Consider the following 25,901-nt stretch of genomic DNA (forward strand, 5'->3'; position numbering starts at 1 on the left):
AGTCCATTCCCTGCCTTGCCTGCAGCTTCCACATGAATGACCACTGGCCTATACAGGGCTTGCACCTTGCTGGGCCCTGTATGGCTGGGGAAAATAAAAAGGAAAAGCAAATGGGTACGGATGCTTTGGGAGTTAATCAACAGTTCATAACATTTAGTTTTTTAAGTTTTGCTAATAGATGTCAGATTGAGTAATGTCAGCCCTGAAGCCCTTTTCTTTAAAAAGGAAGCCCTTTTCTTTAAAAAAGAAGAATTGTTTCCAGAAGCCATTTTTTTGCTAACTTTTTTCACTTATATCCCAATGCTGTGTTGATTCATAGGAGGAGAAGTGTCTTGAACTGTAAAACCATTACCTTACATCACAGAAGATAAATACAGTTAAAACAATTTAAAGCAAGTCAGTGAAATATATAAAAGAATAATTTACTCCAGGATTGTGACCCTCTAGGCTAAGTTTCTGGCAATGACAAGTATTTATGGCTGAGTTATACACTCTTAGAAAAGGCTCATGATAGAAATATTGCCAGTCCCTTCTTCCCTCAGAGTTCGGCAGGCAAGAGTGGCCATTAATGTCTATAGTTTATCCTCTATTAGGGTGGGGGTGGAGTTAGGGAGTGAAGAAAGCAAGTCACTTAGAACCTAAATAACTGGGCCAAAGAATATGCCAGGGAAAACCCGCAGGTCCTGACTCTCTAACATCAAGCGTTAGGCTGGAAACTGCAAATTAAAACCACAATGAGAGACCACCTCACACCTTTTTGAATGGCTTTTCTCAAAAAGATGAAAGAAAACATGTGGTTTTCGCCGCCATCATGGTGTGTGTGGTTGACTCCATTCCTCACCATGTCTTCTCCCAAGACTTTCAGGGTCAAGCAATTCCTGGTCAAGAAACAAAAGCAAAATCATCCCATTTTATCGGGGGAACCTGCCCCTGATAATTCAATGTAGGTTCTTTTCTATTTTCCCTAAGTGTTGGCCAGTCTGAGAAATAAAGGGAAAGAGTACAAAAGACAGAAATTTTAAAGCTGGGTGTCTAGGGGAGACATCACATGTTGGCAGGTTCCGTGATGCCTCCTGAGCCGTAAAACCAGCAAGTTTTTATTAGCAATTTTCAAAGGGGAGGGAGTGTATGAATAGGGTGTGGGTCACAGAGATCACATGCTTCAAGGGCAACAAAAGATCACAAGGCAAATGGAGGCAGAGCGAGATCACAGGATGGGGTGAAATTAAAATTGCTAATGAAGTTTCAGGAACACACTGTCACTGATAAACATCTTAACAGGGTTCAAGAGCAGAGAACCAGTCTGACTAGAATTCGCCAGGCTGGAATTTCCTAATCCTAGCAAGCCTGGGGGTGCTGCAGGAGGCCAGGGCATGTTTCATCCCTTATCTGCAACTGCATAAGGCAGACACCCCCCGCTGAGAGGCCATTATAGAGGGCTCTCCTCCCCCCAGGAAAGCATTCTTTTCCCAGGGCTGTGAATTATTAATATTCCTTACTGGGGAAGGAATTCAGCGATATTTCTCTTACCCATTTTCGATAATAAGAGAAATATGGCTCTGTCCTGACTGGCCTACAGGCAGCCAGACTTTAAGGTTATCTCCCTTGTTCTCTGAAAATCACAGTTATCCTGTTCTTAAGGTGCCCAGATTTCATATTGTTCAAACATACATGCTTTACAAACAATTTGTGCAGTTAACACAACCATCACAGGGTCCTGAGGTGACATACATCCTCAGCTTACGAAGATGACGGGATTAAGAGATTAAAGTAAAGACAAGCATAGGAAATCACAAGAGTATTGACTGGGGAAGTGATAAATGTCCATGAAATCTTCACAATTTAAATTCTTCTGCCATGGCTTCAGCCAGTCCCTCCGTTCAGGTTCCCTGACTTCCCACAGCACCATTTCCCAGTGGATTCAGATGACAGCTGGTAATACAACCAGTTACAGCTCCAAAACGGAGCCACTGAAGAAGAACCAAGCTGGGTTTATACGGAATTGTACGTGAGATGGCACACAGGTTTACGCTGTGTCAAAGTCATGATCATGTCACCATATCGATCTGTGAATGTCACCACTATCTGGACAGTCGAACATGTTTTATTGGGAATATGTTTTTTCTCTTTGTTTATATGCTCTGCACTAGTAGGTAGGTTCAGTAATAAATATGTGAGAACTTTTGTTTCAGTAAAAGAAGAAAGAAAGAAAGGAGAGAGAGAGAGAAAGAGGAAAGGAATGGAAGGGAAGGAAAGCGGGGGAGGAAGGCAGGCAGGCAGGCAGGGAGGAGAAAGAAAGAGAAAGGAAGTAAGGAAGGCGGAAAGAAGGAAGGGGAGGGAAGGGAAGGGAAGGGAAAGGAAGAGAAGAGAAAGAAAGAAAGAAAAAGAAAGAGAGAAAGAAAGAAAGAAAGAAAGAAAGAAAGGAAGGAAGGAAGGAAGGAAGGGGAAAGAAAGAAAGAAGGAGGGAAGGAAAGGGGAGAAAGAAGAAAGAGTTGGCAAGGGTATGGAGAAGAGAGAACCCTCGCACACTGTTGAAAGACAAATACCACATAATCTCACTTAAATATGGAACCTAAAAAAATTAATGTCTTAGAAGTAGAAAGTAGAATGATGGTTACCAGAGGCTGTGCAAGAGAATGGGGAGGGAGATAATGGGAGTTGTTGGTCAAAGAGTACAAAATTTCAGATACACGAGGGGAATAAGTCTTAAGATTTCTTTTTTTTTTTTTTTTGAGACAGAGTCTCGTTTTGTCACCCAGGCTGGAGTGCAGTGGCACGATCTCGGCTCACTGCAACCTCCGCCTCCTGGGTTCAAGCGATTCTCCTGCCTCAGCCCCCTGAGTAGCTGGGACTACAGGCGCCCGCCACAATGCCCAGCTAATTTTTATATTTTAGTAGAGATGGGGTTTCACCATGTTGGCCATGCTGGTCTCGAACTCCTGACCTCGAGGGATCCACCTGCCTCGGTCTCCTAAAGTGCTGGAATTACAGGCGTGAGCCACAGCACCCAGCCAAGTTTTAAGATTTATCATACAGCAGAGTCTCTATAGTCAATAATAATGTATACTTCAAAGTGACTGAGTAAATTTCAAATATCTCACAGTAGAAATCATAGGTAAATGAAGTGGTGGATATGTTAATTGGCTTGATTTAATCACTCTACATTGTATACATATGTCAAAATATCACAGCGTACCCCCAAAATATGCACAAATATTATTTGTCAACTAAAATAAAATTAACTTTTTTTAGATTTTAAGAAAATAAACTGAAATATTAGACCTTGTTTTGTGTACAGATGGACCATAATGAGTGAGTTCACACAGAGCAGATGTGGGTGAGCTGACAGATTCTGCATTATCAGGTCATACAAAGTTTTGACCTTCTATATAATGTAAACAAATATTCAACCTTTGTCCCACTTTAGACATTGGTTTATTGAAAACAGAGACTGAGGAGAAAAGCCTTGGGGCCTAGTCCTGTCTTCTAATTCTTTCCCCTGGAAGACTTCACATAGGACACTTAATGTTTTAAACAGTTTTTTTTGGCAACTGCATAATGATGATAAAATTAACCACAAGGGTAGCTATGAGATTTAAATCAAGCATGCAGAGGTGGTTTCAACATTTTAAGCGCCAAACGATTTAGGTTATTAATCATGCATATTTAATATGCATTTATATTTTACGTAGACACATTCCAAATGAGGGTTAATCAGATAACTTGTTTCTATTTTTTTCATGTTGAGATGTCACATTGAAGTAGTCGTGTACAGCAGAGCATGCTTGCTCCTGCAGCTAGACTCGCCTTCCTGGGGAAAGGCACAGGTACTGTTGGTAAACATCTATACAATAACTGTTGCCTTGGCAGACCACCGGAAATAATAGTAGCACAAAGTGTGTTGAACTTTCCTGTATGCCTGAAATACGCATCACGTGGATATTGGTATGGTAATATTATTCCAAGTTTTCAAAGGTCAACTTTCTTTGTCCAGATAAATCAGTTTTATACTCTGTATTTCAGAAACCTTTCTGTGTTTTATAGCTAGAAGGTCCTAGAGTGTAAATTATTTTCAGAGAATTAAAGGGCCATGGCTTCAACCTCTAATCCTTCTTCTGAGTAAATAGCAACTACTTTTCCTCAAAATAAAAGTATTATCAGGTTTTAACTAAGAAACATAAGGCCCAGAGAATCTAAATAATTTTTCTGTCATTATAGAGCAAACCAGTGAGGGAAGCAAGCTTCCTAGCTGATGTAGAAATTTTGCTACAATTTGCCTCTCTTGATGGCAAATTATAGCAAAATTAGTATATCAGGTGGGAAACTTTCTTTATGTTGAAAATACTTGTCCCAAATAGTTTAAACACTTTAAAGGTTTATGTCAGTTGAGAAACATATACCCTAAGATAGCTTGTGTGTACGTTTTACCTACACAATATAGAATGACTGTATTAGCTACTTCTTCTGGTGCGATAATGTAGCATCATTCAGTACTGTGGGCCATAAGTTCTCCACAGTGATTGGTGTATGGCAAGGATATTTAAGTGAGCACATGAGGACAAAGAGATGGGAACATCTTCAAATTGACACATTTATTGAGAAAAATGTTACGGCTGACTCCTTTGTATTAGATATCTCATATTTTTACCCAAATATTTCTGAGTCTTATACTTCTTGCACATTTACCTCAATTTTTATGAACATATTATTTAAAGAGACTATATAGATGCTTCAAAAGTCAGAATGTCAAGAGCTGCACATACCTTTCTCACTGTCTTAGTGAATTAGTGTGCAGAAAAGAGTTCATGTAGCAGGCTTGGATTCTGGGTGATCCTCCTGCCTCAGCCTCCCAAGTAGCTGGGACCACAGGCACATGCCACCAGGCCCAGCTAACATTTTTTTAAATTGTTTGTAGAGACAAGATCTCGCTATGTTGCTCAGGCTGGGGTTGAACTCTAGACCTCAAGCAGTCCTACTGAAATGGCCTCCCAAAGCATTGGGATTACAGGCAGGAGCCACCACGCCTGGCTCCAAGGGATTATTATGGACACTTGACTCTGAGTCAAAGCCTAGCCAAGACTGTTTCTGTTTAGCTTTATTTCTAGTGCTTTTGTGTTCATGTCTGTAGACATGTCTTGATTGAAATCAGGAATTAGAAATTAAATGCCAAGTCCATAAAAAAGAAGATGAAGTAGATGCAACAAGTTCTCTGCTTGGATAAGCATAGCAGTGAGACTGTCATAGATACTGTCACCTTTGACTCATAAAGTGTCTCTTGGGAATCTGGCTTCCTGTCATAACAGAAGTTATTTTTTAACTTTAACTTTAAAACCGTTGTTTTTTATAACAATAAAAAAAACCTAGAAAAATGGCAAAAAATAGACTATGGAATATTGAGGAAAACAAACGAGGTAGGTGATGCTTTGTAGTGAGCGAGGGGACCAAATTCAAACAAACAAACATACAAGAGTATAATGGCACAAGGTAATTTAAAGCGGGGATTAACCATCTTGCTTCTCATTATATCCCACCACATAGAGCAAAGCGCAAGACTTGGTGCTCAGAGGACACCAGGACAGCCACAGGATGGTTATATCTATTGTCCTCTGTTTAGTAAGGCAAAGAAACATGCTATCCAGCTTCGAATTCTTTCCATCTAAAAATGATAATTTAAAAACTTGGTACATAAAAGGAATAAGCTTTACTAAACTTAGAAGATGTATGTATATAAGACATGTCATTACTTATTGCCTACAGAAATAAGGCCTATTGTATATGCAAACTGTGTTTCAAATAAAACTAGTATGAGAATGTATATGTTCTTATAACAATAGAAATATCATCTTAAAATGAGCCATCAGTATTAAAAGGCAACCAACACACTATTTCACGGTTGTGTTCAGGGTGCCCCCTCCCCAGGATCTGGGATTTGCTGGAAGGACACACAGCTTTCAGCCTGTACCCACGTCACAGCTCAGGTTTATGACAGCAGAAGGATCCAAAGCAAATCAGCAAAGGGATAAACTGCCTGGGCAAAGTCAGAAGGACTGGCTGATGTCCCTGAAGAAAAGCAGGTGTTTAGCATAAACCACATGGGTTGTATAAACATTTAGACAGAATAAGCCACCCCAGCAGTCAGAGAATTGTTGAAAGCCTCCAAAAATCCAAGTTCTCACATGCCCACAGAGAGCCAACCTTGCAGGCAGGCCGTCCTAAGGACTGTAGTCCCAGGCCTGGATGACAGAGCAAGACCCTGTCTCTAAAACAAAACAATACAAATGACCACATGGAGCCTTGTGGAATATCACCCTGATTCCTAGGCCTGGGAACAAGTCCCAGGAATCCATGTCTTTCAGCAAGCATACCAGATGATCCTGATGTTGGTGTTCCACAGAATGGCATTGAGAAACACTGCTCTACTCTAGAAAGCACCTTCCAGGGGAGCTCCAGCTGCTGAGCCCCAGTCTGCCAGTGGATTTCTCCTCCCTCCTTTCTTAGGGTATTGACTTTAGAAAACTTGTAATTGGCAGTTCTGTCTCTGTCTCTTTGAAAGACATGCACATCTTTTTAACGGCCAGATAAGTCTTTTGTCAGCTTTTGATGGAGAAATGTCTTTCTCGAGGACCTGGGAGCCATCCCTTTGAAATGTAACCATCAAGGAAGACAGCACCCTTACCTCCCAATTTCTGAGAGGGTAGAAAACTACCACAAGCACCTCACTCAAGGTGCAAAAGTACCTCCTGTCATAAAGATGTGAGAAGTTTGTTTTTCCTTTGGATAAAGCCAATTATTAGCTAACACACACAGTCATCCCCAATTACCAGTTGAATCTAGGATGAAGCATGTGTGACAAATGTCTGACAAGCCCTCTTACTTGAAGACTAGTTATCATTCATCTTTAGAGCATGTATGTAATGGGTTGTATCTACTTGGCTGTATGAGAGAGTGAGATTTCTTTGTCTTTGCAGTCTCTTAGGAGGTTGCCTGTGACATGCATTACATTCTGATTTAGTGCTTATTCAATAACAAAATTATTTTGTTTTCTACCTTTGTGGAGCAGTTTTCTGGGTAGGGAGGAGATTTTGTTTCTAATTATATTTCTCCGGCACACTTTTATTATTACTGTTGTTTAATCAGGTATAACTCTACATTACAGTGCTACCATTATGCTTATCCTCAGGAAATAGGAAATTTTTCAAATGTTGTAGTGAAATCAAGATAAACAACCTGGTGTCTGCAGGTTGCAACAGGACACACAATAGGCATACCATACCATTTAAATATATTATGTATTTAGCTGTACAATATAAACTACATAAACATGAGAGAACATAAGTGTTCAGAATGTTTTAATATGGAAAATAAACTTTTGTTTTTGGAAGGGAGATTTTAGAGGTGAAGCCCTCACTGTCCCTAAGGAAGGAGGGACTAGTATTCTGATTACTCCAGCTCTGGTTTCAAGAAGCCATTACGGTCTGGGCACAAGAGCAAGAGAGCAGGATTTGACAGGAAGAGAAGAAGGGAGAAGCCTCAGAAGGAGGAAGGAAGGGCGTGCTTGGGAACTTTTAGCAGATTCCTGGAAAGCTGTTCAAGGGAGTGGACTTTCCCACACAGGAAGCGTCCAGTGGGTGGATCTGGTGAGGCCATGAGAACAGGTGCTTTGTAGTGGCCAGAAGCTGTGCCTATGAGACCTGAGCCATCACCAGGTCTCCTTTGCGCAGAGGCTACTCCTAAAGTTCCCCTAATCTGTTCCTGGTGTGGATTTGACTTCACCAGCAACCAGCACCTCCCCTCCAGGCCTTCACACCTGCTACCTGATTGTGCCTGTCCCTCATGGCACTGTGTGGACAGCCTGCCTCACGTGACTCCATGATGTGCACAAGCCCCTAGAAGGAAGACAGGAAGGAAGGGGAGAAGGTCCCCTCATAGCATTGGCGTCAGCGAAGGATCCCGAGCTGAAATAAAGTAGCGGGAGACCACGAACCACCCCCGCTCCCCGACTCCTTTGCCTAAACTTGCTCTAGACATTGGTTCAGCCTGAAACCTATCACTTGTATAAACCTCTTGAAGAAGGACGCTCTGTAGCTCCACCGTCACCAGCTTCTGTTGTGATGAGTCTCCTGATGAGAGTAGTTTTTCTCTTCCACTTTGAGCAGAAAAGTAGTGCTGGGGCCAAGAATAGGAACTCTGAAGCCAGTCAGCCCGCATCTGAATCCCTGCCCCTCTATTTATTAGTTACCAAGCCTGAGATAAGTCCCGTCAACTCTCCATACCTCACTTTCCACAGACGTCAAACGTGGGCAGTCAGGCTGCTGTGACAAGTAAATCAGTAACTACGAGTAAATTCTCAGAACAGCCACTGGCACACATAGAAACATGGTATGTGTGTTTATCATATAGCGACCAAGACAAAGCCCTGTGACACGTAATTCTTAGAACAGCTACTTATAACTCTTTCCTTGGGTCCTTAGAAAACTTCAAAATGTGACCAGGTGCAGTGGCTCACGTCTGCAATCCCGGCACTTTGGAAGGCCGAGGTGGGTGGATCACCTGAGGTCAGGACTTCGAGACCAGCTTGACCAATGTGGTGAAACCCCGTCTCTTCTAAAAATACAAAAATTAGCTGGGCATGGTGGCAGGTGCCTGTAATCCCAGCTGCTTGGGAGGCTGAGGCAGAAGAATCGCTTGAACCCAGGAGGAGGAGGTTGCAGTGAGCCGAGATCGTGCCATTGCACTCCAGCCTGGGCAACAGAGTGAGAACCTGTCTCAAAAAAAAAATAAAAATAAAAATAAAAGTAAAAATAATTTTTTAAAAAAAGGAAACTTGAAAATGCAAACCATATAGCATTTACAAAGACTTATATCTAAAGGTGTTATAAATGTTGTACAGATCTTTTCAGAATATGAAATTCAGCAAGCCTTAGGCTGAATACCTCCAAATAGACTATCCAATTTTAAACCATTTTATGAAAAAAATTCCCTAAGTGCTCTACAAAACATGAAAGCCTATGCCTGGCTATAAGAAATAATAACTAGGAATAATTTCAAAATCTGCTGCTTTATGCTCTAGAGTTTAATAACCCATCTCATCTCTCTTTTTTAAAAAGAGCCAATAATTTAAAAATGAATTATATGATTAGATTTCAAAACTGATACCTTTATCTGCTGGATCAGGAAGAGAAAATAGTCAATATAAAAGCAAAATGACTTGTTTGGATTAAAATATTTGGGATTTGGCATGTGTGCATATGGTAAGTGTGGTTATAAAGTTGCCCACACAATCGTGTGTATTTGTTGAGTGTTTACCATACGGCAGGTTGAAAAATAAACTTGTTACTCCTCCTAACAAATATTCATAGATATCTCAGTTCATACACCTACACATACACACACACACACACACACAAATTAAAAGAGTGAATAATCAATCCTAATGCTCCACATAAGATGTGAAAAACTGAAGACACAGTGACATCAGGATAACTATACTTGGTGAGCCTGTATTTTTCTGTATAAACTTCCCTCCCATGGGTTCATTTACACATTGCGTCCCACAGAAAATACCCCACCCTTTGTTAATGAAATCTTCTCAACTCAGCATCTACTTTTTATTTTACCCGTGTCCATCATCATCACAATAAGGTTTTTTTTATTGTTTCACTCACTGTCCAACATAGCTAAAGCCATTTTCACTTTCCACCAATCCAACTGAGAGTATTAACATTTCAACTTGATACTTGTGAAAGACTCTCTCCCTGTGAGTTAATTAATTAAAATGCCACTCATATCTAAAGGATTGTGAACACCATGGCCTACCTTTGAGTTCTACCAAAGTTAAAAACATTGAATTAATCCTGGAAATGAATTTTAGAGTGCTCAATGAAGATTGCAAAATATTTATTTTATAAAAGTTGCACCAAAAAAACTTATATTCCTGTTGAATAAATGTATTTTTAAAATCCCTGAATCATTTTAGTATAAATAATAGCTTAAAGATAGAAATTGGGGTTCAAAGATATACTTCTACTTATGACAGATCTGTTTATTCTTCATTTTCCGTCCTCTTAAACAACATAGTCCTCCAGAAACCTAGTACATCGCCTTTGAATATTTATCAGGATCCATGTCAATAATGTTTGAAATACTTCAGATGAAGTTCAAAGTAATCGACTGATTGAGTTGTAATACTTAAATTAGAATTTCTATTAAGAATGAAATGCTATTAATCTTATAAGAATAACTTATTTTACATTTTAAGTAATTTTCTACTTGCTTTTGGAGAAATCTTTGATCAATCATTTATGTTCAGTTTTTAATAAGGCTCTAAGAGACAACCTCAAGCTGTTAACAATTCCCAGGTGCTTTTAGAATGTAAATTCCATATACGACAATAAAGTATAAATGGTTATTTCACAGTCAGAGTCATTTGAAAGGTCTCAAATAAATGTAGCCATGCACTGACTATTTTTTTCCTTTCTCTTTTTTTTTTTTTTTTTTTGGAGACAGGTTCTGGCTCTGTTGCCCAGGCTGCAGTGCAATGGTGCAGTCATAGCTCACTGCAGCCACTAATTCTTGGGCTCAAGGACTCCTACCGCCTCAGCCTCCCAAAGCACCATGTGTGAATTTTAAGTAGGAAGAAAATCAGTACATTTGTCTGAATGTGAATCCTGACTTGTAGTCTAAGTTCCCAGGGAGAGAAAAACTTTATGAAAAGAGTTGAAAATTCAATCAGAAGATAAAGGTCCACCTGTAGAACAGCAGTTCCTAGGATCAACTGCTTTCTAATTCTACAAACTTGCATTGTTTATAGTGGTGTTCTGTTAGAACTTGCTTTATGTACATGAGGTAGCAATGTACAGTCAACAATGTTCTTCAATATAATAGTGTCATCAGATAAATTCAGCATGTAACCTTTTAGAGTTTCATTCCCTCTGACAATAACTTATCACTATTATTCAATATCTTACTTATCTATACAATAATAGTATGTATAAAAAATGACTGCAGGCAAACATTCTAGGTTTTTGTGTGTTCAAAAAATGAATAGATCAATACTAGGGCTTACAAAACAAATTAACTGACCGGTTGCATTTTTTTGAATGCAATAGATCATTAAAAAAAATGATCTGGGCAGAGGCAACAGTAAAGTAAAGATTCAACCACATAATAGCCATGATTGAGTAATCAACTCACTTGTGATGCTGGAAACTATGTTTCATCTGGATACCCAGTTTCACCGAGAAAACTAAATTGGGCTGAAAATTGTGGTTGATCTGTTTGAGTAGAGGTTATTTTAGCTTGTGAGCAGTGACACGGTGCTCTGGGATTCTGGTCGTGTTGCTCCATCATATAAATTAACTGTCATGGACATTTTACTTTCCATGTAGGTAAAGATAATAAAAGGCTGAGGTTCACCACACAATGTCATGGAAAGGGACATATCTGTCAGCCCAGTGCACACCAGTTCAGACAATCCTCATGTCCACAAGCTTTATATCTATTCTAAATTCATAGGAGTGGGACAGAAGGTTCTGGATTAATGGAATCCTTAAAAAAAAAAAAAAACTGTCTTGTCTACAACCTGAAACTCTTCTGGAATCCAAATGGACTGGGAGCAAACTGGTTGGTTTTTGACAGAAATAAAAGGCCAAGGAAATAAGCAAAATTTATTTCCTTTCTTCAATAATTTTATAATCCAACTCAGGAGCACAGAGTCTCAAAGTCAGTAACCTCCCACAAGCCATCTACAGGCAAGATTTATAATCTGTATAAATAAGATGTATCATCTATATACGGATGTATTTATAACTTACAGCACTCTATTCCCCTGTCCTTCCTCCTTGTCAATCCTATACCTCACATCGTCCCAGAGGAAATATCTGGGAAGATTCTCTTAGCTGTGGCACTATGATTTCCTAGTGAATAGTTTTGTAATCTTAATTTACTAATCCCATCCTTCTATTCAGATGACCAGCAATTATGTGCCACTTATATTAAAAATTCAAAATAAGAAAATGAAAGTTAAAAAAGTAAATAGCCCTATCTGAAAGTTATATATGTAAACAAGAGTTCATGAAAGTTTTTTCTCCAATCACTGTAGTTGATCTTTTGAAAGTTCAGTTTCTTTGATCAACAATCAGTAAACCTCAAAGGTTAAACGTTGAAGAAAAAAAATCTGGAAAGAAAAGAGGTAGAAAACTTAAAATTAAAATGGACACAGCCCCTACTAGAATGAATAGAAACATTAACATAATCGGTCAAGAACACTTACTGGGCATATTCTGAAAAGATGCTTTGACAACTTTAAGCAGATGCCATAATCCTTAATCTCAATTAATTTCTGATAACCAGAGTTTGGAACATTACAAATAGATGCAGGCCAGGTGTGGTGGTTCACACTACCAATCCCAGCACTTTAGGAGGCTGAGGCAGGGGATTGCTTGAGCCCAGGACCATCCTTGAAACCCCATCTCTACCAAAAATACAAAAATTAGCCAGTCTCATAACCCGGTCTCAAAAAATAAATAAATAAATAAATACAAATAGATGGAAGTTAATAAGTCACTCGAGGGTAGCAATTTTCAGACTATAAAAGTTTGAGAAATCCAAGATGCTTAATATTTCAATGATGGGGAAGCAGTTTGGTCTGATGTGGAAAAAAACATAGACATTGAGACGGCTGAAACTCTATAGGAAAGAAAGCAAATGTGATGGAAACTTAGTCAGTTAGAAAAAGGAGAAAGTAGGAAAGTGTGAGTGTTTTGAGGCAGTGGAAAGCACAAACTGAGATTCAAATCATGCTGACAGTATCTCTCTACCCTGTGTAGGACACCTTTGTGCCTACAAAGGTAGGTGGATCAGTGGCCTATGACCCATCACTGATCCCAGGACCAGGTGGCTTCACAGATGAATTCTATCAAACATTCTAGGAATTAATGCCAATCCTGAGTTTAGAAACAGTTCTACATTATCATGTGTAATCAATAAATGATTTAATTCTTTTTTAAAAAAAGAAGCAGTTCTAAACTCAGTTTATGAGACCAGCATCACCCTGATACCAAAACCAGACAAAGACACCACAAAAAAAAAAAAAAAACCTACAGGCTGACATCCCTAATGAACACAGATGAAAAAATCCTCAACAAAATACTAGCAAACTAAATTCACCATCACATTAAATGGATTGTATATTCTAATCAATTCTGATTTATCCCTGGCATGCAAAGATGGTTCAACATATGTAAATCAATCAATGTAATACACCACATTAACAAAGTGATATAAAAAGGCCACATGATCATCAAAATAGAGCATAAAAAGCATTTGACAAATTCAACATCCTTGTGTGATTAAAAAAAAAAAACTCTCAACAAATTAGGTACAGAAAGAATTTACCCCAACACAATAAAGGCCATCTATGAAAAGCCCACAGCTAACATCATACCAAGTCATGTAAGACTGAGAACTTTTGCTCTAAGATCAGGAAAAAGACAAAGGTGGCCACTTTCAACACCTCTGCTTAACATAGTACAAGAAGTCTTAATCAGAGCCATTAAACAAGAAAAAGAAAACAAAAGGCATTCAAATCAGAAAGGAAGAAGTAATATTATCTCTGTTTGCCGATGACATAATCATATATGTATAAAACCCTAAAAGTGCCACAAAAAAACCTGTTCAAACTAATAAATGAATTCAGTTAAGAGGCAGGATACAAAAATCAACATATAAAATATCAGTCAGGTTTCTGTACACAAACAGCAAACTATCCAAAAAAGGAATTAAAACAAAATCCCATCCCCAATAACAATAAAAGGAATAAAGTATTTAAGAATAAACTTAACCAAAAATGTTAAAGACTTGCACACTGAAAATCATATAGCAACTTATTCTTTCATGATTATTGTTTTGCCATCTTTGCTCAAGAACTAATGGTAGCTTTGCTTGACAATTATATGAGATGCAGGTTTTCACTGTCATCACTTAATTTAACCTACCTCGTCCCATATTAATACATAACTTAGACTCTCCATACCAACCTAGTCATTTGACTACAGTCTCCCATGCACCATCTCCCCATTCCTCCTGCATATTTGGGGTTACTCTTCATAACCTGTTTCATGTCATTCCTCAGCTCTAATCATCAATGCCTCATTTGAACCTTGATGGTCCCGCCTGAGTGGTCTCACTGGTGGAAGACGATTATACAAGGACATGAGTAATTATACTTATCAATAGCAAACAGAAGTTTTTTCAATATTAGCCTCCTCCAGAAACTTTCTGCAAGAGCTGATTTTATTTCTTTTGCCTTCATTCTTTTTATAGCCAATAAGGTCAGTTTAAACAATAGTAGTCTGCAAATCATTTAGCTAATATTAAAATATTTGACAAATTATTTTAGTGGCACCTAAAATACTTCTCTTATGACAAATGAAAATCCAGAGGATGTTAAGGGCCAAAAATAACTGTAGTCACTGTCAATAAACAGACATTCCCCTGTGCTCCCCCCGTCCCCACTTTCCTTGCCCTTCGGTCCAGGCAAGTTTCAAATTCAGAAAAGTCAGTCTGGAATTATTTCATTCTACATTTCAGGACATAAGTGCAAAGGACAAGAGAAATGTATTTCTTTTCACTCAGCAAAGAAAGTCAGTGGTAAATGTGAGTTCAGTTCTTGCTTCTGCCATTTTCTCCTCTGTTCAAAACCAATCAAGGCCTGGATACTTGACCTGCTGGTTGGCAGGGGTCCTCTGTTGAGTGACCTGGTACTTGTCTGAAGATGAATGCAGGCAGGTAGGAGTCAGGGGAAGAGCCCCTCTCTGTGTGTGTGTCCGTGTCTGTGTGTGCATGTGTGTGTGTGTGTATGAATATGAGAGTCCTAAAAATCTCTCTTTTAGATCCAATACTATGTGCTATAAAAGAAGTCATTGAGAACTAACAAAAGTATGTACAGCAATTTATAAAATCTGCCACAATCACCTTTCCCTTGGCAGTTGAAATAAATTAAATCTGTCCCACATCTTATATCTGTCTCTCTGCTTTAATCTCCACATTGATTTTTGACCAAAGAGCCTCAAGACGTGAAATAATCAAATTGCACCAGAGAAAACACAAATGATCTGTTTTGCTTTGCATCTAAGTTTTATATTCAATCTTTCACTTATAAAAATTGAAAAAAGGAATTAAACTGAAACATACAGTCAATGGCTGTCATCTTCTGTCAATGATAACTTTTTACTAATGGATACAAGGTCCAGTTGACATTCTTTCAATCTGTCAACTGAATGTCAAAAAGCCATTTGCAACTGTTCAAAACACATGGACACTAACACTACTGACCATTACATTTAGTCATCTTCATTTCATTGGCAGAGTTTGACGCTGTTTATAATTTACATACAAAGAAATAGTTTTGTGCAAGAAACTTAGTCATCTTTGGACAGATGAATGACATTTTTATTAATTAATAAGAGTTAAATAACCATATCTCCTAAAAATCTGTTACCTTCATTTTCTCTATAATTTAAGATGTTTACAATTACTTTTTCAGCATATAATGGGCAAAATCTTATACGTGTTTGAAAATGATTCTTTATGACACTTTTCTGAATAGAACATTTTTTTCTTGCCTTGGTCTCTAATCTGTTTTCACTGTTTCTTTTTCCTGACCAGTTTCAAAAAATACTTCCATAATGCAAGGGATTTTTAGGTAAGAAGTTCTTTTTGTCTGTGTCTGAAGGAACAGAGTCAACATTTAAAATGAGGAGTCTCTGCTAATTTTTCCTCCCCCAAATATTTCACCAACCACTCATCATTTTCATTAAATTCTAAGTCCAATGTATGTCTCACCACAGTTCCTAGAGGAACAAGGGAGGCTTGATGTGGTCCAAGGTGATTGTGTATGAAAAGATGTTATTCCCTGAAAATGCTCTCCTTATTATACACAGAGCTATAGTGGAAGCTTCTGTTTATACAAGACCTTTTCTTCTTCATTTTCAACACAGGAAGAAATATCAGTTTGCAATATGAGCAAAGTCTATAAAGGGACAGCCAAAGCCTAGCAAGCGTTGGCTCTACAAGTCTAACATAAGTCAAAGGTAAATTAGCTGGCTGAAAGCATGTGGAAGGGAGAAGGGAAGGAAGAAAAGAAAAGGGAATGGAACAGAGTGAAAGAAGGAAGGAAGGGAAGGAAAGATGGAAGAGAGTGAGGGAGAAAGGGAGGGAGGGAACTGTAATACAGGCCTCTACACAGAACTCTATATGGACCTCTATATTTGTACTTCTGTAAATAAAAAAAAAATCACTTTTTCTCACAATCATACAAAGTGGATCTAGGTTTTGTGGGGGCTGGAATCTTACACAATTTAAGGATTCATTGTGACAAAAGAGACAAATGCCTAATACACAAATAGTGCAGTGCTTTGGAAGGGGCCTGCTCAAGTGGGAGGAAGGAAGGAAGGAAGGAAGGAAGGAAGGAAGGAAGGAAGGAAGGGAGGGAGGGAGGGAGGGAAGGGAGGGGAGGGGAGGGGAGGGAAGGGAAGGGAGGGGAGAGAAGGGAAGGGAGGGGAGGGGAGAGAAAGGAGGGGAGGGGAGGGGAGAGACAGGAGGGGAGGGGAGGGGAGGGGGGGGAGGGAAGGGGAGGGAGATGGGGAGGGGGAGGGCAGGGGAGGGGGAAGGTAGGGGAGGGAAGGAAGGGGAGGGGAGGAGGGGAGGGGAGGGAGGAAGGAAAGGAAGAAGGGAGAACAAAGTGAAAGGTAAAAATAAATTATTTTCTCTTCCGTGTCCCGACAGTGAGGAAGCTGGCCCAGAGGCAGAGCTGGGAGAGCCTGGGATGGCCTTCCTCTCTCTCAACTGTAATGCAGGCCTCTACACAGACCTCTATATGGGCCTCTCTATATTAGCACTTCTGTAAGTGAAAGAAATTACTTTTTCTCATACTCATGCAAAGTGGATCTAGGTTTTGCAGGTCCTGAAACACAATGAAAGGCTTCATTGTGACAAAAAAAAGACAAATGCCTAATATACAAATAGTGTGGTGCCTTGGAGGAGGCCTTGGAGGAGGTGGAAGCCCCAAAGGCCAATTTCACCAGCACAAAGATTATACTCAGTAATGGTCACCAAAGATCTAAGTCAGTGGTTCTTATAGTATGTTTGGGGGTCCCTGAGGATCCCTGTGTCCCTTTTGGGGATCTGCAAGGTCAAACCTATTTTCCTAGTAATATTAAGATGCAACATCAGTCTGTTTCTGCATCCACATCTGAAAAAGACTGAGAGAAAAAAAGGCTCCTGTCTGGCAAACTGGCAACCGCATTCTCAAACACCTGCTGAAATGCACTCAACGCAGCCCTGCTTCAGCCATATCAACCTAGCACTGTCTTGTATTGCTGGGGTATGTGGGGATTCTAACACCTTATCACCACCATCAAAAATATTCATGTAATTGGGAAGATAGGAGTTCTACAGCTGAAACCTGAAGGCTGGTAATACCATATGTTTTTCAGCCCTTTACGAATTTCTTTTTTAAGCTTCAGGATGGTGGCAGATAAGAAAATTGGAAAGATTTTTATTGCTGTATCTGATTGATGGATTCACAAGATAAAGAAACCCTCAATACTAGAATAATGGCCAACTCACCTAAATTCAGCCATTTAAAAAAATGCTGAATATGCGCATTAAATGAACATGTTTACCATAAATAAAAACAGAGACCAGCCCACGGGGCTGGCTTTTTCCATGTTTGATACCAGAAGATGTCTGGTGCTCACTCACCCTCGGCTACAGTCAATCTCATCACGAAGGTTTCGTTTTCTCCTGCGCTGGCCTGCAAGTAGCAGCGGTAAAGCCCCGAGTCTGAGACTGTGACATCGGGGATGACGATGACGCTCCACCTTCCGTGGCTGCAGTTGCTCACTATTTGTCTTGGGAACTTGGAGGTGAAATTTCTGCCATGGACCAAGTTGCAGTAAGTTAAGAGGTCGATCTGACGGGGCTGGATCTTTTCCCACCTCACTGCCTGCACAGGCCACGTCATCTGAGGCTGACAAGTGAGTGTGACATTCTTTCCAGGTTCCGAAACAATGTGGCTATTTGATGGCACAGCTGCCTCAAAACTATCTGAAAAGAAGAAGCAAATGATTAGATACAGGTTGTCAAATTTTGGGACACCCAACTGGAAGATACTTAATCATAAAAATAATTGGTGATGTTACCTAACACAGTTCTTCCGTTGTGAATGACCTCTTTATACTACTTTTTTTTTTTTTTTCCTGAGACGGAGTCTTGCTCTGTCACCCAGACTAGAGTGCAGTGGTGTGATCTCGGCTCAATGCAACCTCCACCTCCCAGGTTCACGCCATTCTCCTGCCTCAGCCTCCTGAGTAGCTGGGACTATAGGCGCCCGCCACCGCGCCCGGCTAATTTTTTGTATTTTTAGTAGAGACGGGCTTTCACCGTGTTAGCCAGGATGGTCTCAATCTCCTGACCTTGTGATCCGCCCACCTCGGCCTCCCAAAGTGCTGGGATTACAGGCATGAGCCACCGCACCCAGTTGTGAATGACACATTCTTGTAAGAGAAAGGGTTTTTTTTGTTTTTTGTTTTTTGTTTTTAAGTCCGGGAGATAAATAGAAAAGAGGATATGATTGTTCACACATAGTTCCATAAGTGTTACTTGGTTAACCATGTAGTGAGAAACACAGCCAAAACCCCTGGTGCTTTTCTTGGTATCATATCAAGAGGCTGAATTTTACAAAGAGACTGTTAGGCAATAATGCTGGGCTGGTGTCTCTGACACTGACCTACAGTATCAAATGTTCAGGTTATAATCATTCTGGCTAAGATTCTGACAGTTATGAAAAAGATACCAAATCATTCTCACTGAATATACACATGATCTCATTCTTCAGATATACAGGGTTGTCTTACACATGGGTAGAGTAGGGCCCCACATGTGGTATCAATTCTTGATACCATGAAAGTCCAGTATTCTCCCACCTTCCTCACACCATTTCTGGAATTCCTACCATAAAGTACTCAGTAATTGTCACTAAATATCTAAGTCCATGGTCCTTAGAGTGTGTTTGGGGGCCCTGGGCATCTCTGTGTCCCTTTAGGGGATATGCCAGTTCAAATCTATTTTCCTAGTGATATTGAGAGGAAATTCCCCCTCTTCACTCCAGTTCTCTCACAGGTATACAGTAGATATTTCCAGAGGCTCTGCCAGCTAGTGGTATGCATGCTTGAAAATTCTTGTGTTTTAAATTTTGCTCAATATTGATTTCTAATACAGTAAACATGACAGATATAGCGTACATAAACAAACACTCCCTGAGGGCCTTCAGTAATTTTTAAAATAGCATAAAGGGGTCTTGAGACCAAAAAGTTTGGGAACCCGATCTAAAGAATAAACTGTGGTAACTCTTTCTTAAAATTAAGATAACCCAGCAAGGTAACAAGTGGATCTATTTATTAGTGATGAACACCTTCTTTCTTCTGATGGCATCACTAATGCCAACAAATCCTGACCTGCTATTTCAGTAGAGTGAGGCCTGGGCAGTAATGATGTCACAAAACTCTCTGGCACTAAGGGAGAAATGCAAAAAGTGGGAAGTCATCTGTCACTTCAACTATGTGACAGTTTCACTCAGGACTGGCCCAGGAGCCATTGTCTTGGCATACAAACAAAAGAAAAAAGAAATAGAGAAAGAGAGAAAGGAAGGAGGGAAGGAGAAAAAGAAGAGAGAAAAAGAAAAAAGGAGGGAGGAAGAAAAAAGGAAGGAAAGGAGACAGAGAAACAAAAGAGATGTCACATTTCGAAAGAGAGAATGAAAGCAAGTCTAAAGTGCAGTAAGATTTGCCATCTATTGAACTAGAATATCATGGCTACGATAGTTTCAGCCGCACCAAAAACTAGCTTCTCATCTTCAGCATGCGGTTCCATGTGTCAAAATGTTGTAAAAAGAAAACCACAGCACTCCAGCTTTCTCCTCTGTACAACCGTTTACCAAAGGTAGCACTTTACCCACATAACACACACCCGGAAAACATTTCGTCTCTAAGTAATAAAGCAACACAAGAAAAGGGGAAGAAAGAAAAGCAAAGGAAGAAAATTCATTAAAAAAGGGAAAAAAGGAAATAAAAGCTTAAAAGAAACAAAAGGAAAATTAAAATAAAAATTAAAACAGGGAAAGGAAGACGTGAGAAAAGAAGGAAATGCGTGACAACATAAAATCAGATGCTAGCACACCATGTGGAGAAATGAAAGAACATAAAAGAAATGAAAAAAAGGAGGAGAAATCGACTTTCATGTGAGCCCTTCTGGTCCCTGGGAAGTAAGAGGCAGCGTGAATGCGTGTCCTCAGTGCTCACACGCACAACTGTTTTGTGTTTTTCTTCTTCTTCTCTCTGGATGCCGCCCCGTCCAATCTCAGGAGTTTCCTTTGTCTGCCTATCTAACCAAAACCATGCTGTCAGGCCCCCGTGAACCTGCCGACTCAGGTAGAAACAGGGGTCTACTCATAGCCGTGTCTGCATTTTCACAAAGGACAATGCAGGAAGCAATGGGGAAAATCCTAGAGGGGATGCAGCTGTCTTTGGGGAGCAAAGTGCAGGGAGGTTACAGCAGAGGCTCCATGTGAGGACCTAGACCCGCCTCTCAATAGACTCAGCCTGGAGGTGAAAGAAGTGGTTCCCAACCCTAGAGCCAGGTGGTTCAGAAGCTCAGAGTAGCCCCTGATTAACCTTTCCTGACAAACAGAGTAACTGATTGGTGTTAGATGAAAATCAAGACCTATTACGAGGTCGGCCAAACCTGCCTTGCCTCAGATATTGCTTGTGGCTTCTCAGACCACAGGCTCTTCCTGCAAAGCTCAGTGGAAGGCAGCTCAAAATGACCTTGAAAAGAACTGCCAGAAAGAGCCCACACAAACAAGAGAACCGTGGGATCCTGATGAACTTGGAATTGGAAAGTGGATTCACGTGAAACAGACCAAAATGTCGTAGTTAATTGGGAAGAAAAAAATTTGATTTCAATAAAACAAATACAAATAATGAAAACCAGCTTATACTTATATGTAGCTACGTATTAATACTTAGAATAAACATTGAATAGACTGTGTTGTTTTCCCATGATTTTTATTGCAGGATATCATGATTAAATATTCTCTATTTTGTATGTGGCTTCTCTGGCTTGACCACAAATCATCCTTGGAAATTATTTCAGTGCTTCATCACTTTTCCAACCACTGCTCATGTCCTGGGTACCCCAAACATTGCTGGGTACATCTTCACATCATGCCACTGCCCCTGCCCACTAGCGCCTCCCTGGCTACTGACCTGTCCTCCTCACCATCCTCACTGGTCAACAGTTCTGCATATGCAGTTTGAGCAGCTCTGCAAAATCCTTCACCCACTTCACAAAACCCTGAGTCATTTTACTGTCAGCTTCGTAAACCCAAGCCTCTGTATAGCTAGACCATTTTACACTGCTCTGTACTTAGCACCTAGAACCATGCTTGGCATAAAGTAGAGAAGTCAATCAATATTTTTTGGATAAAAAATTTGCCAACCTAAAGAATGGGAGGAAATATTTGCAAACTATGCATCTGACAAAGGTCTAATATCCAGCATCTATAAGGAAGTTAAGCAAATTTACAAGAGGAAAACGACCCCATTAAAAAGTGGGTAAAGGACACAAACAGACACTTCTCAAAAGAAGACATATACGTGGCCAACAAGCATATGACAAAAAGCTCAATATCACTCATCATTACAGAAAGGCAAACCAAAATGACAATGAGACACCATCTCATACCAGTCAGAATGGCTATTACTAAAAAGGCAAAACATTACAGATGCTGGTGAGGTTGCAGAGAAAAGGGAACACTTATACACTGTTGGTGGGAGTGTAAATTAATTCAACCATTGTGGAAAGCAGTATGGCAATTCCTCAAAGAGATAAAAGCAGAACTACCATTTGACCCAGCAATCCCATTCCTGGGCATATACCCAGAGGAATATAAATCATCCCACTATAAAGACACATATGTACATGAATGTTCACTGCAGCACTAATCACAATAGCAAAGACATGAAATCAACCTAAACGTCCATCAGTGACAGATGGGATAAAGAAAATGTGTTACATATTCATCATGGAATACTATGCAGCCATAAAAAAGAATGAGATCATATGTTTTGTGGGAACATGGATGCAGCTGGAGGCTATTATCCTCAGTAAACTAATGCAGGAATTGAAAACCAAATACCACATGTTCTCACTTTCAAATGGGAGCTAAAGGATAAGAAGTTAGGAACATAAAGAAGGAAACAACAGACACTGGGTCTAGTTGAGAGCGGAGGGTGGGAGGAGGGAGAGAAGCAGAAAAGAGAACTCTTAGTTACTGAGCTTAATAACTGGTGATGAAATAATATGTACAATGAACCCCTGTGACACATATTTACCTATGCAACAAACCTTCACATGTACCCACAAACCTAAAAGTTTTTTTAAAAATTTTTCTGGCCGGGCGCGGTGGCTCACGCCTGTAATCCCAGCACTTTGCGAGGCCGAGGCGGGCGGATCACGAGGTCAGGAGATCGAGACCATCCTGGCTAACAAGGTGAAACCCCGTCTCTACTAAAAATACAAAAAATTAGCCGGGCGCGGTGGCGGGCGCCTGTAGTCCCAGCTACTCGGGAGGCTGAGGCAGGAGAATGGCGTGAACCCGGGAGGCGGAGCTTGCAGTGAGCCGAGATTGCGCCACTGCAGTCCGCAGTCCGGCCTGGGCGACAGAGCGAGACTCCGTCTCAAAAAAAAAAAAAAAAAATTTCTAATAAAATAAAACTGTATTTCTGACTTTAAACACTTGAAAAAATTAATTTGCAATTCATTTGCACTCAATGTGCATGTATTTTTATTGATTTTGGGGGAGATTTACATCTATAATAACCCTAATATTAAGAAATATATTTAAAATAGTATTAGTCATGCCTAAACGAATTGAGAGTTCTAGGCAACAATCCTCAGTGTCTGCAAATTCACAAATGCCATTTATGTTTCCACAGTACCACCTTGGAAGTCATAGCCTTGTCAAAATAATCAAACCTGATGCTAATCAAGCCTCCAAATCTAACCACCAACTTACAGAACTGCAAAGAGCAGAGAAACGTATCAAATGCCACCATGGGAAAGCAGCCCACGGGAATATGAAAAACTCAAGGTGACAACAACAACAAAAAAATGAAAGGTGGAGAGGAATCAACCTACAGGTTAAAGGGAGGTATTACACAGTAACAATGTGTGGAACTTAAAAAGGAAAAATTCATAGAACTGGAGAAATGCAAAGTAGACACTTAATAATTTTAAGAAATTATTGCTGTTTTGTGAGGGGTGAAGGTAATGATGGTATCATGTTTATGTTAAAAAGAAAACTCATCTTTTGAGATTCAGGCTAAAATATTTATTGATGAGATGACTTAATGGCTGGAATTTGCTTCAAATTAATCAAGGGAAAGAGAGAGTGTGAGAAATAGAGAACAATAACACTGACCCAAACTTGATAGTCGGCGAAGCTATATACTGGTCACAGGGGAACTGATTATGCTATTCTTTCTATTTTTGTATATGTTTGAAACTTCCATTAAAAAAGCTTTAAAAGTATTTATTTGTGCCCGGGCACAGTGGCTCACACCTGTAATCCAGCACTTTGGGAGGCCGAGGCAGGCAGATCACGAGGTCAGGAGATCAAGACCATCCTGGCTAACATGGTGAAACCCCGTCTCTACTAAAAATACAAAAAATTAGCCGGGCGTGGTGGCAGGTGCCTGTAGTCCCAGCTACTCAGGAGGCTGAGGCAGAAGAATGGCGTGAACCCGGGAGGCAGAGCTTGCAGTGAGCCGAGATCGCACCACTGCACTCCAGCCTGGGCGACAGAGCAAGACTCTGACTCAAAAAAAAAAAAAAAAGTATTTGTTAGTACAAGATTTGAGAAGCAAGAGAAGGAACCTAAATTGGAGTCCCTGCTTGTGAAAGGTACTTCACACACCCAATCTCTAATCCTAACAATAACATCCAATCAGTATTAATGTGCCTGTTTCACAGTTGAAAAAATAAATATACTGAAGTAGCTTTCCCAAAGAGCTGAGCTGGCAAAGAACAGAATCAGAAACGCAAGAAACTAATTTGGTTTTAAAGCTCATACATTTTTCATGCCAGAACACCACAAATGCTAAACTCTCTCCTGTATCTTTAACCTCCAATTCTAAGTGGACTGTTCTCTCTCTCACCTCTAAACGGGATCTTTCTCCCATTCCTGAAAACCAACTTTGGACCTTTTGGCGCCATCCAGTCCTTGTTTCTTCTTCCCTATTCATTCAAAATTCCAGGAGTGGGTTCCCATCCTGCTCGGCCTCACCCTTTCCCATGTGTGCTTCGACACAATCGAGCATCCATTTCCACCCTTCTACCAAGACTGCAAATGTCATCAGTGTTCTTGACCTGAATGCTGGATGTCCAGCCCTCCTGGAAATACTCTACCCCTTGGCTTCCGTGACATTGCACTTGCCTGCCTCTCCTCTCTCCTTTCTGACCTCCCTCTGCTATCTCCTTCATGCTTTCTCTTCTTCTGCTTGTCCCTAAAAAAAAATGTGTGTTGTGCCCCCAGGAGTCCACTGCCCTTCCCTGTCTACTCACCATCGCTGAGTGAGCCTATCTACTCTCCTTGTTCAACCATCTCTTAGGTGCAGATCAAGTGCAAATCAATAGCGCCTGCTCAGTCAGACCTCTCCCCAGGGTTTCTAAAGCACGAGACGATAACTTGTTCTTACGATGCTTCAAATAGACTAAAAATTAAACAGCCCAGCATTGCCCTAAGCCATCTGCAGGAGCACTATTATTACACTAGCTAATTAGAAATGATGATAGTAGTAGCTCCAGTAGCTTCACGTATTCCCAACTGTGCCTAGACTATGAATATGCTCAATTAAGAACTTTTCTACAAACTCTTACTAGTCACCCAAATAAATGCAAAATGAAATGTTGACTGCATGATGACTAAGGAGGTCTCCTAAAGTGCCTGAGATAAAGTTCTCAAAAATAAGCAAGCAAAAGAAATAGAAAGGCAAGTTCCCAGTTACAAGCAAGCAACAAAGTCCAGAAAGTGGAAAAATGGCACTTTTGAAGCTCATAGGGCATGCAGTGTGGGAGGACATACTGAGGACAGAAGGAGAAACACAGACACAAAAGGCAGAATTTTCCAAGGATGCCTTTGCCTGCCTCATAGTTCTGGCTGTGACAGCCAAAAAGTGAAAAAGACAGTCGTGGTGGACACTGAACTGAGCTGTCAGGCAGCTTCAAGCAGAATAGAAACAGAAGCCTCTTCCCTAGAACGCATCAGCATTCCCAGAAAGAGAATGCAAGCTCCTGCCTACACTGTAGACTCCCTGTGTGCATTCATTTCAAACATAGACAGCAATGACAGTATTGGATGGCATTTCTCTAAAAAGCTGCAATGTTCCCAGATGGCCAAGTTTGGGGATGTTACAGGTGGAATTGTGTCCCCCAACATTCCTATGGTGAAGTCCTAGCCTCCAGTACTTCACAACCTGATCTGATTTGGAAATAGGGCTGTTGCAGATACAATTAGTTAACATGAAGTCATCCTGGAATAGGGTGGCCCCTAATCCAATATGACCGTGTCCTTATAAAAAGGGGAAATTCTGACACAGGCATGAATACAAGCAGAACGCCATGTGAAGATGAATGCAGAGATTGGGTTGATGCTTCCACGAGCCAAGGAAGGCCAAAGATTGCCAGAAATTGCCAGAAGCTAGGTGAGACCTCTCCTTGCAACCCCCAGAGGGAACCAACCCTGCTGATACCTTCACTTTGGACTTCAAACTGCAAGACAA

General features: G+C 40.3%; 1 protein-coding gene across 9 annotated transcripts in view; it reads right to left on the reverse strand.

The window, feature by feature from the left end:
* The window catches only part of CD226 (CD226 molecule), a 108,500-nt gene that overhangs the window by 24,664 nt on the left and 57,935 nt on the right, over positions 1–25,901 (reverse strand). For all 9 annotated transcript variants that reach the window (XM_006722374.4, NM_001303619.2, NM_006566.4 and 6 more), the window contains one exon: positions 17,764–18,108. In XM_006722374.4, the coding sequence (XP_006722437.1) occupies positions 17,764–18,108 (345 nt within the window). The remainder of the gene's footprint in view (positions 1–17,763; positions 18,109–25,901) is intronic.

This window comes from Homo sapiens, chromosome 18 (assembly GCF_000001405.40).
Source record: "Homo sapiens chromosome 18, GRCh38.p14 Primary Assembly".
In the NCBI taxonomy this organism is placed as follows: domain Eukaryota; kingdom Metazoa; phylum Chordata; class Mammalia; order Primates; family Hominidae; genus Homo; species Homo sapiens.